General features: G+C 36.0%; 1 protein-coding gene across 17 annotated transcripts in view; it reads left to right on the top strand.

Annotated features, from left to right (window-relative positions):
* Positions 1–18,247, top strand: part of KIAA0825 — a 467,754-nt gene that overhangs the window by 217,044 nt on the left and 232,463 nt on the right. For 16 of the 17 annotated variants that reach the window (XR_948246.3, NR_169751.1, NM_001388325.1 and 13 more), the window contains 4 exons: positions 5,052–5,460; positions 9,867–10,026; positions 15,157–15,315; positions 17,099–17,193. Coding sequence is in view for 15 of the 17 variants with exons in the window: in NM_001388325.1 (NP_001375254.1) it covers positions 5,052–5,460; positions 9,867–10,026; positions 15,157–15,315; positions 17,099–17,193 (823 nt within the window). In the remaining 2 variants the exon portion in view is untranslated. Of the gene's footprint in view, positions 1–5,051; positions 5,461–9,866; positions 10,027–15,156; positions 15,320–17,098; positions 17,194–18,247 lie in introns of all 17 variants that reach the window. The other variant, NM_001145678.3, reaches the window with a different exon arrangement.

The raw sequence follows: 18,247 nt of genomic DNA, 5'->3' as shown, positions 1-18,247 counted from the left end.
CTCTTGGGGAGAGGCCATGAGCAGGGTGTCCTTATTCCTTCTTTAGCTTTCAGCACACAGTAATGAATTAGAGTTGTCCTTTGTATTACAGACTCTGGTTGTAACAAAATTAATCCTCATAATACATACAAGTGACTTTAACATATTCCTATAAACCAATAAGTCAACTACAGTTTAAAACTAGTGCTGGGAATGCAATCAAGAGCAAACAGTGACAAAGTGAAAAAGCTCCCACTTGTTTCTATTCTTAATATGAGCTCTTCACAGCCATATTATAAAACAATGATGATTTTATCACCTTTGGCAAAAAAAAAAAAGAATTGTGGGGAAACTATCTGAAATGTGGCTTCCCATATATTTTGTTGATGTAAATCCCTCCTAAGCCAGTATTGAGCCTTAAGATATTAGCTAGTTTGGAGTCATCTTGATAAACAAAAGATTTCTACACTAAGTATCCAAAACATGAAGATAAACTTCTGTAATTTTTTTCAACAATGTTTTAATTTAGTGATATATAATCATGGTTCTTACAAAATTTATCTAACTAATTATAAATGTTTAAAGGTCTTTAAAAAAAAATCTAACTTACTAAAAGACAAATAGTCATTACCTTAGGGAATATTTGTCCTTCTTGACACAGTAAAAATGACAGAACATGGAAAACACTATGGTGACAAACTAAAATGCATTTCTTCATTTCTTTATCAGCAAATACTGTGACATTAAAAAACACTGAAGATTTAAAGAAATAAATATTACAATAAAGATTACAGTGTGGATTTACTGGAGAGTTGGATGGAAGTTAGGATGGCTCTGACATAGCTCTGCTTTTAGATATTTGTTTCATTATGTTTCAAAGAACAAATATACAAAGAACTAGTTGTTTTGTTTTGTTTCTTTGACAAAAATTAAATGAAAGATATACCTGAGAAGATATTTTCTCAACAGTAAATTACTTTTTTAATGAAAATAATCCTTTATGGCAAAACTTTTGGAGTAATTGTCTTAATGGAAACAATGAATTCTAGAGAGAGGAAACAGAAATAGCAAGCAGCATTTAGGAAAATGTGTCCATGCCATTGGTCACATGCAGAAACAGCATGTTGAGAAAGAAATTGATGACAGAAATACACAAAGTGCTGTAAGAAGTCATTAGTATAGTGTATAAAAACCAGGCCTATTTGTTTCATAAGAACCAGTGTTACCTACAAAAGTATCATATCTTTTCACTTAAGAATTTAGAAATAGGATTTTCTAACATGATGTAAAATATTGCAAATGGAAAGTTTCAGTGACTCTTGAATGCTTTTCTTAAAAATATAAAAATAAAATATTTTTCCATTCGTTTGCAAGAACAACATATTTACATCACAGATGATGGATATTTGTTAGTCAAATTTCAACAACAGCCTTCACCTATTCGGTAGTTAACACTGAAAAATAAATGCCATGATTTTGTGGGCACAGCTAAGGATATACTGGTTTCATGTTGATCTATATGTGTTTGTGTAGTGGCTTTTTCACCTGTGACAGCCATGAAAACCTGATCTTGAAACAAACTGAACTTAGAACTTGACCTTTGTATTGTGAAGTGTTAAGCTCAGATTTAAAAAATAATAAAAAATTACATTATCCTCATTCAACAAATTGTTATTGATCTTTTTTACCATTAATAAATAAAATTTTAAAAATTAATTTTGACATTTTCTTTACCTCCTTTATTGTAAATTTCCTTTTTGCATGTTTTATCAACCACAAATATATTATTACAGTAGTACATTACAGAAAAGAAGAAATGACAAATACATCAATATACATATATTGCCTTCATCCTAAGACATAGATTTTCTTCATACTTTATCAGCTCTAAAATTGGATGACACAATATGTTACATATATACGGCTTAGACAGAATTAAACTTATTTAAATAAAGACAGAAAGACGAGTGTGTAGCAGTCTTAAAAGATCCTTCCCTGGTGTGTTGTTGACATCATCATAGACTCAGAGCCCTTGAGATTGGTAGAATGGATTTATTAATTTGTCATCAGCCTGAAGGTTCTGACTGAAATTTGCCTTAAGCGTTAATGAAATAGCTGGGGATTTGAGTGCCCATAGTCCTCGGAGTTTATAAAATATCAGTAGAGTGTAGGTGTGAAGAAGAAAATTGGTAATCTTTACCTAATATCTACTTAGCTTGTCAAATATTTGCTCAGTATCTGTAGTCAAACCCTCTTTAAGACAGAGGGAATATAAGATACAATCTTTCAAGTCAAAGACCTAAAAGCAGAATAGGGACTATGAGATACAAACACAAAAAGAACAATGAGACATTTCAAATAATTTAAGAACACTAAGGAAGATTTGCTTTATCTATATGTTAAGCCTCACCTAAACACATTAATTTGAATAAAAAGAAAACATTTATTGAGCAACTATTTTTATCAGGTGCTGAGCTAGGTGCTTTCATATTTATGATCTTATTTAATGCAACAGTCTTAGGAGATTGTTCAAATATGTGTTGGATCTAGTTTTTACAAACTTATAAAGACTGCTCCAATTAATTTTTAAAATGATTCTTAAGTTGTCATGGATTGCAGAGGAGTCACTAGATTAAACATATTTTCCAAGAGCTTTGTACTTTTTTGGAACAGAGTGACTTTTTAAATGTTATATATATCTTCAGAAAATGTTCACATTGTTCTGTTATTTTTGTTCAGCAAAAACAGTAAAGAACGTTTTACCAAAGAACTCAAAGCTACTTTCTTTTGGCTTCTCATTCAGTTTTAATGTTCAAATTCCATTATGTACATAGTGGATTAAAACACTGTCTGGCTTTGTGGGATAATCAAGGAGCTAAGAGCTTTGTTTCCCATGCTCTGGAGTTTATAGGCTAGTTGTAAAGACAATTCATGAGTATACAAATAACATAATATAAATAATAATAGATGATAATACAAAAATAACACAACATAGCCAATTATGGACCTAATTACCAAAATGGTCATATATATAATATACTCAAATAAATTCACAAGAGAGGAGAGGATTTTGAACTAAGAGTTGAAGATTATTTGTGAACCATGAAGACAGAAGGCATTCCATTGAGAGTAATGATATACTCAGAAGTCTAAAAGCAAAGAGGATAAAGCATGTTAAAGGTCTTAAAGGGAAGGATCATAGAAACAGGCTGAGGCTAGACTGTGGAGTGTTTTGACAGCAAGGCTCAAGAGACTGATCTTATAACAGTGGCAAGTAGCTAAAATTATCACAGCAGAGAAATTGGATAATAAAGTTCATGGGGATGAATTCAGTTTTACAGTACAGGAGAAGAGCTGGACATAGCCTGGAGAAGGGAGATGAGTTAGAAGAATAGTTCCGTAGTCAAGGTACCATTTGTGAAGAAGGGCTTGAAGTAGGTCAGTAACCTTCAGTTGGCCCCAGCAATGAGAAACTGGATGTCAGAGATAAAGGGGTAGAACTATATATCAATGCTGATCACGGATTAGGTATGAAGGAACATTTAACAGGAAGAACGGGAGGGAGGAGGGAAGGAAGGAGGGGAGGGAGGGAGAGAGGAAGGAAAGAAGGAAGAAAGGAGGAAAGGATGGGAGGGAGAGAGAAGGGCCAAGCTAGTTTGGAAGACAATGGTTTTAGTTATATTGAGTTGATGGTGATGAGGACACAGAAGTGGAATGCTTAACAGAAAGCTGGAGTTATAGGACTACAGCTCTGGAGAAAGGCCAAGACTTAAGATTCTGGAATCATATAGAATAGTGGTTCTCAACCAGACACAGTTTTGGTCCCAGGGGACATTTGGCAATGCCTGAAGACATTTTTGGTTGTCACCACTGAGGGGAATGCTACTGACATCTAGTGGGTGGAGGCCAGAGATGTGGCTAAACACCCTACAGAACATAGAAGAGCTCCTCACAACAAAGGATCATCCAACCCAAAGTTGAGAAACCCTGATACAGAGAAGAAGAATTAATACATTTTTCTTGGAAAATATGTCTAATCTAGTGACTCCTCTGCAATCCATGACAACTTGAGAATCATTTAAAAATTAATTGGAACAGTCTTTATAAGTTTGTAAAAACTAGGTCCAACACATATTTGAATAATCTTCTAAGGCTGTTGCATTAAATAAGATCATAAATGTGAAATAGCACCAAACAAGGAAGAACATGTGGAATCATCAGCCAAAAGGCTAAGGACTTCTTAGCAAAAACCTACATCTAAGCGATGTTAATAGAAAGTGGAAATAGCATAGGACACAAAGAAGCAAAGAGGAGAGATGGAGGTAAGCAAGAACCAATTTACTGACTCATTCATCCAACCAATATTTATTGACAACTATTATATAAGAGGTAATAAGTGCTAGGGATACGGGAATGCCTTCTCAGAGCTTATAGTTTAGAAGAGGGTGACAGTGTGCAGGAAAAGGACATAATTATTAGATGATGGGGAGTGCTATAATAAAGGCAACAAAATGGGGATCCCCAAAAGAGAGGGTCTTGGGGCTGTGATGGAAGGGTATAAATGGACTGAGATGAGATGATGAGATGAGATAAGATGGTGAGGCAAGGCTCTCTGAGGAGGTCACATTTGGGTTGAGAACTGAAAGGAGAGAAACCAGTCCTGAGGAGAGCTGAAATGATTCTGTCATGGATTCCAAGGGAGGAGGAGAAGGGCTTAAGGGGGAGTCAGAAGTACCAAAGCCTACAAAGCTGCCCAGCTGGGCACCTTTGCATTTGTTAATGAGGAGGCCACCTGGGTCCTGGACAGCTGCAGTCTTGAAAGATAAGAATATAAATTATGAGTCTAAATTTTCTAATCATTTATGAGAGAAAAAAAAAAACAGATTTTGATTTGGGGGAATTTTAGGTAGTACTGCGAGAGACCCCGGTTAGAGTTCTGTTGGAATATGTCAGGCACTTGATCTTCTTGCCAATTTTCTCCACAAAAATTAGACATCCTTATACAACACAAAACCATGCAGTGATTGAACGCAAATGCTAATATTAATCATACCTTTTCTTTTCTTCCCCAGGCTTCACAAGGCTTACTGCTCAGGCAGTATCTATTGTAATCAGCAAGTTACCTACGGTGATTGCATGTTTGCCTCCCCCAGTTAAATACTTCTTTTTTCTGTCTGAGAGAAAAATGTCAAAAAAATTTGTTGAATTGAAGAAAGCTGGCCTGCTTGTCTGGAACTTGATTGTAATTATATGTCGGATATTTGAGGACGGAAACACTGTGGAACTTTTAACAGGTGCCTCTCTTGACAGATGGAGTAAAGAAAAATTGGGTTTAATTTGTATGTGTTTGAAAAGCATCATGGGAGACCAGACAAGTATCCATAATCAAATGATCCAAAAGGTCATACAGAGCATTGAGCAGCAGAAGCCCAACTGGATTGAACGTCAATTGTTGAAAGCAAGGAAACTGAGCACTGAATGGTAAAGTGATGTTTTTCTCTTATTGGATTTCATCAAATGCTTTCACAATAACAAAATCACCAATAAATGACAATATATTGTCAGATGGGCAGCAGTAGTATTTTGCTAAATTCATGGCAGCTTTGATGAATATAAAAAAAGATAAGTATCCCATTAAAAATTGGATTGTTGCACATTTCTTGTCTTCTTAAAATGTGAACCCCATTGACACACTGGAACATTATACTTGTTTAGTCACCATCTTAAGGTTTCTGATTAAAAGGGTGGTAGTTAAACCCAGGAGAATTTAGTTTCACCCCTTTTCAGTGTGCAAACAGGTATCTAGTGGATAGCCTGGAGCATTTTGTAAATGGATTGGGCATGGAGATTAAATTAAGAAGGAATTAACGGATATAAAAGGCTTTTTATTGCTTTCTGTGTACCTGATTGTCAAAAAGGTACACATTTTTCATCTGGTAATGTAAGAATCCCAGAGGGCAACTAGGGCATATCACACTCCAGCTATAAACACACCCAGCTGTTTCTGTATGAAAATGTCAGCCTTCTCATGGGTTTGTCACTAAGAGCTAAGTGATTTGTGGTACTGCAAAGATTTTTAAGGGTCCCTGATGAGTTGAAATATGTACATAGAGTCCTCCTGTCTTTAAATTAGTCTTCAGGTATAGAATTGCATGGTATTGATAAAGGAATTCCAGCTCACATGGTCTACAGATCACTGTCAGCCCATTTTAAAAACACCGACACATGCTGTCCCTCATTCTTTAAAAATATATTCATGTTGCTAGCAGATACTAGTATAACTTTCTGCCCAAAATGACTAAAAGTCACTTGAAATATGGTTACTCTTACTAGTACATGGTAGTGATAAAGAGATCAGGCTTTGGAGTCAGATGGGCGAGTACAAATCCCTTGTAAATGGGTCATCTTGTGCAAGTTATTGAATCGCTCAAAGCCTCAGTTTCAATGATGATACCACACTGACAGAATTGTTTTGAAAAATTAAATAACATTCATGGAGTTCTTAGCATCAAGCTTGGAACTGATAGGCATTATTATGTATAAACTCTATTAAAATATATTGCATTCACTGGTTAGTATTAAGGTAACTAATAATGTTTACTTGTCTATGTTAATCTATAAGACTTCATATTAATCCAAATGGGGAAAAGTAGGTAATCATGATTTTCCTGGTCTCATCATACTGACCTCTAGAAATGTACTTCTGGAGTGTCCCATGGGTGGCAATAACAATAGCATTCAGGCAAATGCTTAGTAACATTGGCAGTGACCGTCTTAATCTTTCTATTTGCATTCAACACTAATTTACAGGCTTTAATCCAATGACTAAAAAATTAAGGCCTGATGTCATTATCCATGGCAGTGGTTATAAAGGGGAGCGGAAAAACAAGAGTAAAAATAGTATATCTGATTATAGTGACAAAGTTAAATTTATGATACTGCTCATTTAGTAGCCCCTATATCAAATAAGGTCCATTTAAAGCAATGTCTAGGTAATATACCTAGGGGTACATACAAGAATCTATAAGCTAAATTTTTTCCTTAAAATCTGATTTCAATTTAAGTTTTATAAACAGCCCCAACACATCTGGTATCTCCTATACGGGGAGTTGTCGAGCTAATATTTGGCTGATTAACAATGAGCCAAAAGAGTATTTATCTCACATACAACATGCATAAAAAATGAAGAATTGCTGACTTAAAAAATGCAGTACAGCCCTCAAAGTTTCTGAGTAATTATATAATTAGCACAATGCTACATCTTTCTCAATTTCTGAAATGATATCAATATACAAAGTGCAGTTTTAAAGTTATTTTTGGCATAGTTTTTTAAAGTTATTTATGGCATTTATTTGAAAAAGAGTTAAATTTGACTTAACTCACTTTAGATAACAATCTCTTACAGAGTTTGGGCACTGTAAGTGTTTCTTGGCTGGGCGCAGTGGCTCACACCTGTAATCCCCACATTTTGGGAGGCTAAGGCAGGCGGATCACCTGAGGTCAGGAGTTCGAGACCAGCCTGACTGATATGATGAAACCCCGTCTCTACAAAAAATACAAAAAAAAAATTAGCTGGGTGTGGTGGTAGGCACCTGTAATCCCAGCTGAGGGAGGCTGAGACAGGAGAATCGCTTGAACCCGGGAGGCGGAGGTTGCCGTGAGCCGAGATTGCGCCATTGCACTCCAGCCTGGGCAACAAGAGTGAAACTCTGTCTCAAAAAAAAAAAAAAAAGAGTGTTTCTTCTTGACTTTGATTTCAAATTGATTATCTGTTATACAAGTGCACTTCCACTCTAAGTACTTCTCACTAATCAGTGGTCATTTTACTCATAGATATACACTGTGAGGAAAAATGTATTTCAAAACATGATGCCTGTATTAGGTAGAGGGTTGCCTTGGTTCTACCATAATTTAAAAAAATATATGAGTATGTAAGCATTTAAACTAAAATGGTTCTTCTGTTAAGATCCATTAAATCTTAATTACTTATGAAGATTATCTGAAACTACATGATACCATTTAGCTAGATTCCTTTCACTTGCATCCAGATTTAACTTTGATTTTATGGAAATGGTGAAAATAACTGCAGTGGAAAAGGTGGCAGCTGTAAGTGTTGCCTGTCTTGCATACTGCCTGAAAGCATTACTATTCATTAAAATAACCTTCACTTTGTAGTAACACTCAAGCTGTAAACAGTCAACTTAGATTCTGGAGAACACACAGCCCAAAAAGTAAAGAAGTATCTGTCTTTGCAAAGTAATTTGTCGAGTTGAAGATTATTGTTTTTCATCATGGTGACCCTGACTTGGCTGGCTGGGTGCATATACAGATTAAGATTAATGCAGTTATTCCTTGGCTAAGGTCTGCCTCTTTCAGGGCACATTCTCCCTAATGACATGATTGATAGGCAGTCCCAAATCCGGAGAGGAACTCATTAATCATAGCATTGACTGAATCCAATCATTTGCTTCACCTGCACAGTGATGGACAGGAAAGGATACAATTCAGGAGCTGACACTGAGATACTCCTTTGTTTAAAAGGCCTCAACTTTTTCAATGTCAGCCTCTACAAAACCCGACAAGAATTTTTTTTTTTTTTGCAACCTGTATGCACCTTCAAAAAGATACCTGCAAACTTATTTTATTGTAAAAAGGTCTTTTAAAAAAACAAGCAATTTACTCTAGCTAATGAATATCTCTAAGTCAAAGTAGGATTTTCTTTATTTTTTAGCAAGGCTATATGATCTTAAAGTTCCTCCTCTTTTCTGAGAAGGATGTTTTGAAGATACATGTGGAAGCAATATCAAAGTTAATGTCCAGCAGCTGGGTGTCATTTGGTTCAGTCTTCAGGTCAGCGGCATTGACTCTTAGCAGAACTAATTTTATAATCATGGCAAAATCTCAGTAATGAACTGCAGTATACAGCTGATTACACCACAGAAAATTTTATTTAGTCTTGGAAACAGTGGAAAACCATGAGTTTTAAGAATACTTACATTGCAAAGTGTAGCATGATCCCAATAACAATTACAACAAGAAAATTAGTGTGGAATATATGTGTACATTGAATATCATAATTTTTTGCACTGGTATAGTTTGAAATGTTTAAATTCTTTTTGTCATCCATTATTACCATGTAAATAATGCTCAAAATCAACAATATGTATATAGATCATTCTAAAAGAAATGTTTTAGAACTATATCTTGCACATTCCTGGTGTGGTGTTAGTAGACTTTTTTTCTGGAAGAATAATCAAGATAGTGACTTGTGCTAAGTATCTGTTACAGAAAGAAACAGGAGTGGGTCACATATTTTTAAAAGGCAACAAGTGTCAAAGGCCAATTTAAAATACCCAGTGGTAAGCATACCGCCATGAAGCACCCAGCCTATATTTAGCATAATAGGCTCCCCCTTTTGACACTTCAATTAGTCTTCAATGTGTTCTACAACAGGTGTAAAGAGGAAGCTACAAAAGACAAAATACCAAAGCTATTTCAGGCATCAAAGATACTTTTTATCCACAAAGAGAAAATACAAATTATTTCTTACATGTTCATAAAAAGAAATGTTTTGTTTTCATCTCATGATTATAGCAATTTCAACAATTGCAGTAATGGGAAAATGTTTTATAGATAGGAGTATAAATGCAGTAAAGACATGTTTTAGAAGAAACGATTCAATTTTTGAAAATGCTTTCAGGTGCTTAATTCTAAGGTGCTGTTTATGTGAGTGGCAGCGGTTTGGGAAGGCTTACCTATTTCAGCGTAGTCTTTATGGATGCTTTGAATCTGAGATTTACATCAACTCTCCACACTCCATCTCCATGATTACTCTCCATCTTTACAATTCTTCACTACTGATATGTATATGCTTTCTTTGTATTTAGTGCATTTATGACAATAGAGAAAAGCACGGCCTTACAAGAAGGAGATGTTGCTCTTGAACTGACTGAGCAGAAAATAAACACGATGGTCCTGGATCTCTGCCACAAACCAGGTGGCAGGGAGTACCTGAGGCAAATTTATCACATCATGCAGCTCAATGAGGTAGGGAAACGGCCTTTTTATCGAGCAATTAGGTGTGTACTGGCCTGAGGCAGCGTCTGCTGGCAGCTAAGGGTTAGTCAAGGAGGTGATAATACTTCTTAAAGTCAATACCAAACTCAATATTGCATTATTAATAGAATCTATTCAGCCCCGGCTGTTCTGCATTTATACAGAAAAAGCTTCACCGAAACAATGTAGATTTTATTTATATGGTTTAAACAATAACATGGCTCATAAACTCAGTTCAGTTCTGAATTGTAGAGACTAGAGGTGTAGTTTGGGAATTGTGTGTTTGTGACTGTTAAGCTGATGTTAAAATCTGGTATTTGTACAGTGAATTTTCAGAAGAGACTTAGCTCTTTTCCTGCAGATATCATGCTTGTGTTGGTGAGGCTGGAGATTTCTTATTTAATGAAAAAACTTAAAGAAGAGTATTGAACCATATTCGGTAGCAACCAGATTAACCTAGGAAAATTCATTAATACACAGACACTGGTTGAACCAATGTTATGCCTTTCTATCCCATTGCCTCTGACCTTGCATGTTTTTGGCTGTTTTATTGAAAATGTAAATAGCACGTTATCTCAGCTATTTACTTGAAACAAAGTTCTCTAACTTAATCAGGTTTTGAATTTGATCATATGTGTCTGAATTAGATTGTGGCATCTAATTGCGTTTATATTTGCAAATACATGAATGTAATTTTTGGAATAGTAAAAATTGTATAATGTGAATATATAGTGTTTTAGTTTTATCTCAATAATGTAGGCCTTATAACCATACATTTTCAGGGAATAAATTAAATTTGACAACAGCATTTTACAACTTGATTATATAAACGTTTTGCCCACCATTAGCTATGTGAAAGTTACTTCAAGTAAATCTTGTTTCCTGGATTTCATAGATCAAACAGTCGATAAACAGGTGACATAACAATGTATTCCATGATAGCCTGAGAAGGATGTAAGAAATTTGTAGCTATGAGATATGACCCTGTCCTTAAGGCACGAGAGCTCAGTTTGTAATTGTTACAAAGCAACACAACCTATTCACTCTTGTCAGTGATCCTCATAGCTTGCTTAGGGTTTCTATCTGGGAAACTCAGAAACCCCTCACCCTGGCAAACTGAAAGACCTCTATTGCAAAGTGATGCTCCTCATTGGTATGTGCACTTGGCCATTCGGATTGGCCAAAGTAATTGTGACAACTACTGAGGAACAGATGTTGCAGTGTGGTTACCCCCATATCCTTAGCCAAGCAGTGTTACAATAGCTCTGAGGATGGTAAACCTGGTCTGAATTGCCAAACTGATAGAACGGTCCTATTTTTAAAAGGTGCATAATATTAAAAAGCTCAATAATCACCAATAAGCAATATCATCCAAAATTGAATTGACTACTTATTGGCCATCAGTTATCCGGTTATACTCTGGAAAGCCAAAGGCTGTACTTCCCTCATAGAGCTCATATAACTCTGACATAGTGATTCTGAACAGGATACCATGAGATTACACTGGGATACCACCACATTTTGCTCAGTGTTATGATTTATCTTGTTACAACTGAGTATATTTACTGTTATAGTAATGTCTATCAGATGGGATATAGAGCTAAGTATTTGGTGGTTTACTGGGCTGAATGAGGCATGGCACTGCAAGGTAAGAGGCATAATGTTAGGTGAGGCTAGAGGCAAAGAAAGGTACCTTTGCCTTGTAACTATTACAAAAACACAGGCAATAAGCCCAAACAACACAAGCATGACTAGCTGACTAGCATAGTACTTATGACTGCTTTTCCACTGTGAGGTGTTGCTATGCTGTAAGTGACATTGCATTGTGATGTTTGTTCATTTCATGAGTAGTGTTATGAGTCTTTAGCACCTTCAGATGTGCTGCTAAATGTTTCTCAAGAATGTAATGTAAATAGTGAAGCATTTATGGGTACAGGCCTAGCTGAGGGGAAGAATGGGTGTGCCATTCATAGAGACAAAGAAGTCATCAGGGAAAATGAGGTTAAAGATGCTTTGTCTTTGAGATAAAGATAAGATGTCCAAGCAAAAATGTCTCATGATAGTTAAGGCCCTGACCATGATGTTGTGCCACACCCCTATCAACTCCCATGGGGTTGGCACCAGGTTCAAGAGGCTGAAGAGACCCAGAGCTGGCCCACAAGACATGGGGTTTTACTGGGAGCTTACATACAGGGAAGAGAGTCCAATGGTAGTGGGCTGGGCAGGAAAACCACAACCACTTGCAAGAGGCATGCAGTTTATACAGCATTTTCATTTAACACCCTCTACCTAGCAACCTCCACCTGACGACCTTCATTTAACCCAAAACAAAGGGCCTCAATCCCCTGTATGGCTCCAGTACTGTGGGATAGGGCCAGGGGCTTAGAGGTTCCTCACAGATAAGGAATGGATCTCGGGTTGGCCACTCCCAGATTCCTTAGCTTGGAACTCTGAAAACACATTCAAGTGCATCTGCCATACAGGGTCATTCTCAGAGTATGATCAAGTAATGACCGTCAGGTGCATCTACCATACACATGGGCACAAATGAGAGCAGACATGCATATAGATTTGGTCTATATATGAGTGTGGTAGTTGAGGTCATCAGACTGACAGAGCTCTTCAGTGAAGAGAAATGGAGAAATGATGAATAGAGGAATAAGCTTTGACATAATGCACAGGGAAGGTGTTCAAGAAAGAATGGAAATCTTCTAAAGATATGGCCCAATTAGTGGTAAATCTGATTAAAGCAATGTCACAGTTAAAGAATCTGAGGTTAAGAAGGGTTAGTGATGACTGTCAGTGCAGTACCTAGAAAGATCAACAAAGGAGAACATTCCATTTTCTTCACAATTTGCAACAGAACAGTTTCTCTTTTTTGAATAGTGGAAACAGTCAAAATGTAGTTACGTAAGGCGAAATCAGTTAAGACAGATTGTTATTAGCCAAAACAAAGCTTTTTTGTCAATAAAAACGAAAGTATTCCTTTTAAAAATTTTATTTGCATAAATCATAATGGAGAAAAGTTTTGTTTCTGTTCAATAATCTAAATCTAGGCATAAAACTATTTTCTGATGGCTTTATCATTAACAATGTTTAGTAAGAGTCCATGTGTGACCCTCCATCAGACACTAAAGAATTAATCTTTCTAAAAAGATATGCTCTACAACAGGGGTCCCCAACCCCCGGGCCACAGACCTCTACCAGTTGGTGGCCTGTTAGGAACTGGGCTGTACAGCAGGAGGTGAGTGGCGGGATAGTGTGCATTACCACCTGAGCTCCACCTATCGTCATATCAGCAGCAGCATTAGATTCTCATAGGAGCATGAACCCTATTGTGAACTGCACATTTGAGGGATTTATGTTGTGTGTTCCTTATGAGAATCTAATGCCTGATGATCTGAGGTGGAACAGTTTCATCCTAAAACCATACTCCCCCTCCCCACGGTCCATGTCCATGGAAAAATTGTCTTCCAGGAAACTGGTCCCTGGTGCTAAAAAGATTGCGGACTGCTGCTCTATAACAAGTAAGTTCAAAAACGATGATTGTTAACTTCAGCAGTGGTTTCTTTCAATTTTTAGGGTTTTATAATATAAAATTTGCCTCTCATGATGAACACAGTGGGCATTCCTAAAGTTATAGAGGCACAGAAAAAAGCACAGTGAACTGAGACCAGAAATGTGGCTCCTCCCCACAGCTTTACCTCTCACACCTGTGTGATCTCAGGATTGTCCTCTGACCTTTCAGCACCAACCATTGAGGGTGGCATTCGGCTAGAGTTTCCCTGTGCCTATGGATCTCCTGGGAGTTCCTTTTTTTTTTTTTTATTTTTGAGATGGAGTCTCTCTGTCGCCCAGGCTGGAGTGCAGTGGTGCGATCTCAGCTTACTGTAACCTCCACCTCCCGGGTTCAAGTGATTCTCCTGCCTCAGCCTCCTAAGTAGCTGGGATTACAGGTGCCCACCACCACACTCAGCTAATTTTTTGTATTTTTAGTAGAGATGGGGTTTCACCATGTTGGCCAGGCTGGTCTGGAACTCCCAACCTTAAGTGATCTGCCCACCTCGGTCTCCCAAAGTGCTGGGATTACAGGTGTGAACCACTGCACCCAGCTGGGAATGCTCATTAACAGGCAGGTTCTGATTCAATAGGGTTCAAGATTCTGCTTTTCTAACAAGCTCCCAGGTGAGGCTTAACTCAGCTGATCCAGTGCCCCAGACTTTGAGTAGCACAGGTTTTCTAAATGATGTCTGAATACCTTTTTGGCTCTAACATTCTGAACTTCATCCTAACCCTAACCTCAAAGAAAAAAATTACATTGTGACACATGAAACATCACAAGAACATTTATATTTTTTAAAATCTATTAGATGACTTATTTATTAATAGTAAGCATTTATTAGTTGATGGGGACTTTTAGTCATTTTAATTTGTCATCTTCCAGAAAAAGTTCCATAAAATACATAAGGATTGTTCACCTTATTTATGGGTGGAAAATGAGGTATAATGTTGTAGATTGGCTTTTTTTTTGCCCAGGCCTGCACTGGCAGTTGGGGGATTATAATGACATATTTTGAGCTTCTCTTGAGCCTTGATATTTTTCACTCCATGGGATGGAAATAGAGTTTAGGAGCTTGCATTATAATTAATTCTGCATTGAATGAGACTGCTTGCAGTAAAATATCAGAGTACTCAGTGCTCTGCTGAGCCAGGAGTAGTTAACAACTACACTTAATGAATGGATGGGCAATCTTATACTGTGAATAATCATGCAGATGAGTTAAGTTTTGGTAACCAGACACGTTAATATGTGAACCAGTGACAAGACAATGCCTGTTAAAAAGGTCCTGATATATCAAACATATATTCATTATATAAGAGTTTGGTAAATGGTTTCCTAATCTATACTAAATATTAGGTAAACCTGTTTTTGATGGGTTTATTGCAATGCTGATTGGTACTCTACTATGTATCTTCTGAAAATATATTCTTCCCTGAGGCAAGTAATACACTGTAATCTAGCAAATGTGCTGAAAGGATAAATTTGGATATTGATCAGTTTATTTTTACAGAGAATGTCTGCTTCTCACCGTCACAACTTGTAATTTCTTTTCTTTGAAGGAATATTTAAAAGAACAGCTGTTTTCTATGAATAGTTCAGAGGAAAAGCCATTACCCATCCGACCTTTAAAGACGACCTTGAGGAGTATAGAAGATCAGCCTTCTGCCTTTAACCCTTTCCATGTGTATAAGGCGTTTAGTGAAAACATGCTAGATCAGGTATGTGGAAATTAAATGGTAAATTTAATTTAAATGTGTGGTTTCTTTACCCAAGTAAGAAAAAATTGCTTTGTGTTTGAGTATTTACTCATAAGCTTATTTTGCTAGGAAGCAAAAGGCCTTGTTCTTATTTACATGGTCTGTACAAATTGACTTTTAAGAGTTATTTTACCTTTTTTCTATTTGTCAAACTGATTCATATGTTTGGTCTGTAAAACTTAACTTTTGGCTGGTCAGTTTACCATGGGCAGAGGGAACATCTGTTAGGCTGTGTCTACAGAAGCTGAAGAACCAGGCATTTTGTAACATTCCTTTCCTCCCTTGCCACCCCCATCCCCCAATACACACACTCACAAAATACCTTGCAACCTTTACGAATTTATCAGGCAAATTAGAAAATAGTTAAAATTAATTATAAATAGAGCACTGAGCTCCTACTTTAAGTGGTATGGGGTAAGTTTGCTTTTTATAACCATAGACACATTCCCAAATTTAAAATGAATTTGTTAATGATCTTAAAGCCGGTCTATTTGGAATAAAGTCAATGTGATAAACACCACACATTTTTTAATGTCAGATTATGCCATCGTCTAAGCCGCATGTTTCAGTAGTTACACTGAAAAGATCGTCTTTCTGCCAAAGTATTTGAAATATAAAGTTGCTTTTGCTTTGTTCATTCTTCTGGTGGCTTTTCCCAGAAACCTCTTGACAGACAATTTGAACTAACAGGGCAGAAGAGAAGGATTGCTTGACCTAGAACTCTGATGAAAATAAGAATTAAAACAATGGCCTAATTCAGCATGCAGATAATATTTTTACCATGCCTGTTACAGCTCTAGTCTACACTCATCAATACTGTAGTGGAGTAAGACCTTCAAATGCTGACAACCCAGGGTGGAATTCTCCTGCTCTATGACAGGATTGTAGTGCTCTATTAATCAGCAGGTGACAGGGGATAGCTCTTGTTGGATTTTAAACGTCAGTCTGGACTCTTGTTTTCAAAACTATTTCATTTTAAGGAGCATAAGCATTTATAATACTTTAAATGTACTAAGTTTGAGTTTATTGGCTGCTTTTCTGTGTTGTGCATTAGATTGCTCCAAACCATAAATAATTATTATAGCTGTTAAATTTTCCTTACTTCATTTAAATAAATGGCATATTTTATTGAGTTCTGAATTATGAGATTTTTTTCACAGTAATTTTTCTCCATAGTCTGTTGTGAAATTTCTATTAATGAGAAAAAGGAATCACTTATATAATTTACACTTACAGATCCTCATAATCTTCCCTTTAAAGCATTTTCTTAACCAAAAAGGTAACATTAATATCACACTCTAATTAAGCTGTATCTTATAATTTGATTCTTAGCACTTCCAAGTTTGTTTTTTAATCAAACTTTTGGTTGCTGAAAAGAAAATCAAACTATAAATTGATATGATGTATGAAAAAGTTGCCAACTATTTTGCTTTGCTTTTCAAACAGTCTCCTTCTCAGAGAAACTTGCTGGGCAAATGCCATTAACACTTGGAAGAATAACGACTCAATAAATTGATTTATATTTTTATAAATAATGACTACATCCCCAAATGGATTTATAAATTAATTGCCGTCTTATTGGAATAAAAACCTTCTTCTGTGGACATGATTGATGTTATCTGTCTAAGTCCTTGTTCTGGACCCCCCTCCTTCTTAGTTAGTCTATCACAGCTGGAGCTTTAATTTACTGATCATATTAACTCTGATTAATAACTAACAATAGTGTCTTCTCATTTATCAACAGTCAGCCATCACAAAATGGAACTGGAATTGGGCAAAGTTGCTGCCAAATTATCTGAGACTGGATAAGATGACCTTCAGTGTGCTGCTCAAAAACAGGTAATAAAATTGGGGACCTTGGGGGTCTGGTTGAGGGACAAGGTTGTGTGTGTGCGTGTGTGTGTGTATACACGTACACAGATTTTACTAGCATACTTTTGGGAAAAGTGAAAACATTTTATCAGCAGGGGAATCTATTTTGTTTTCTTCCTCTCCAGCCTCCCATCTTTTAAAAATATGGCTATTTATAGGAGTATACTCTCTAAATACCATTCTCTATAGTAAAAATTTGTAAAAGGCAGTAACATTTGTTTCAGAGATGAGATTAGTGGATTTTAGACTGAATTTTAAATATTTTTGACTTTGTATATTTAATAGTTCACTATTGTAAAGACCAAAAGTTATTGACTTGAACGTTATTATAATACTACACCTTTGTTTACAACAACTTAATGAATGCGTATAAAATGCCAAGCCAAATCAACTAGTCTAATCAGGAAAACATGTAAGTAAAACTGTCATGATTGAATTTTTCACTTTTCAGCCAGTTATGTTGGTACTGTCTTAATATAGCCACAGTAGCATATTATTTTACACAAAGATACACACACACACACACACACACACACACACACACACAGAGCAGTATAATCCAATGAAATGATAATATGATTTCAGCCTAGGAAACAACATGTAATTTATTTTGCACAAAAGTATGAACATTTTGCTTTGGATCAATTAACATGGTTTTTAAATACTTAAAGTTTCAGTAAAAACTATAAGGTGTAAACTTTAAAAATTTGGATTTTTAATCAAGTATAATACATTTTCAAATAAGATATATTTTATGATATTCCTTTTATTGTTTGAGTCGTCTGTGTGCTTATAGCTAAGTTTGAGGCTTATCGTCTATATGATCTTTGTGACATAGAATGTATTTCCATATCTTTTTGCAAAAATATTGAGTATCTTTTTTTTGAAAGAAAATAATGATAATAACATAGTAGAATTGTCAAATCATTCTTGAGAAATCTGGATGAATATAAGAAAATATCCTAAGAGAGAGGTTGCAGTATTTCTCAGAAGGAAGTTATAGAGGCAGCTTTATTGCCAA

The sequence above is a fragment of the Homo sapiens genome, chromosome 5 (genome assembly GCF_000001405.40).
Source record: "Homo sapiens chromosome 5, GRCh38.p14 Primary Assembly".
Taxonomy (NCBI): domain Eukaryota; kingdom Metazoa; phylum Chordata; class Mammalia; order Primates; family Hominidae; genus Homo; species Homo sapiens.
Note: the sequence above shows the minus strand (reverse complement) of the source record. Positions and strands in the feature narration are given on the sequence as shown.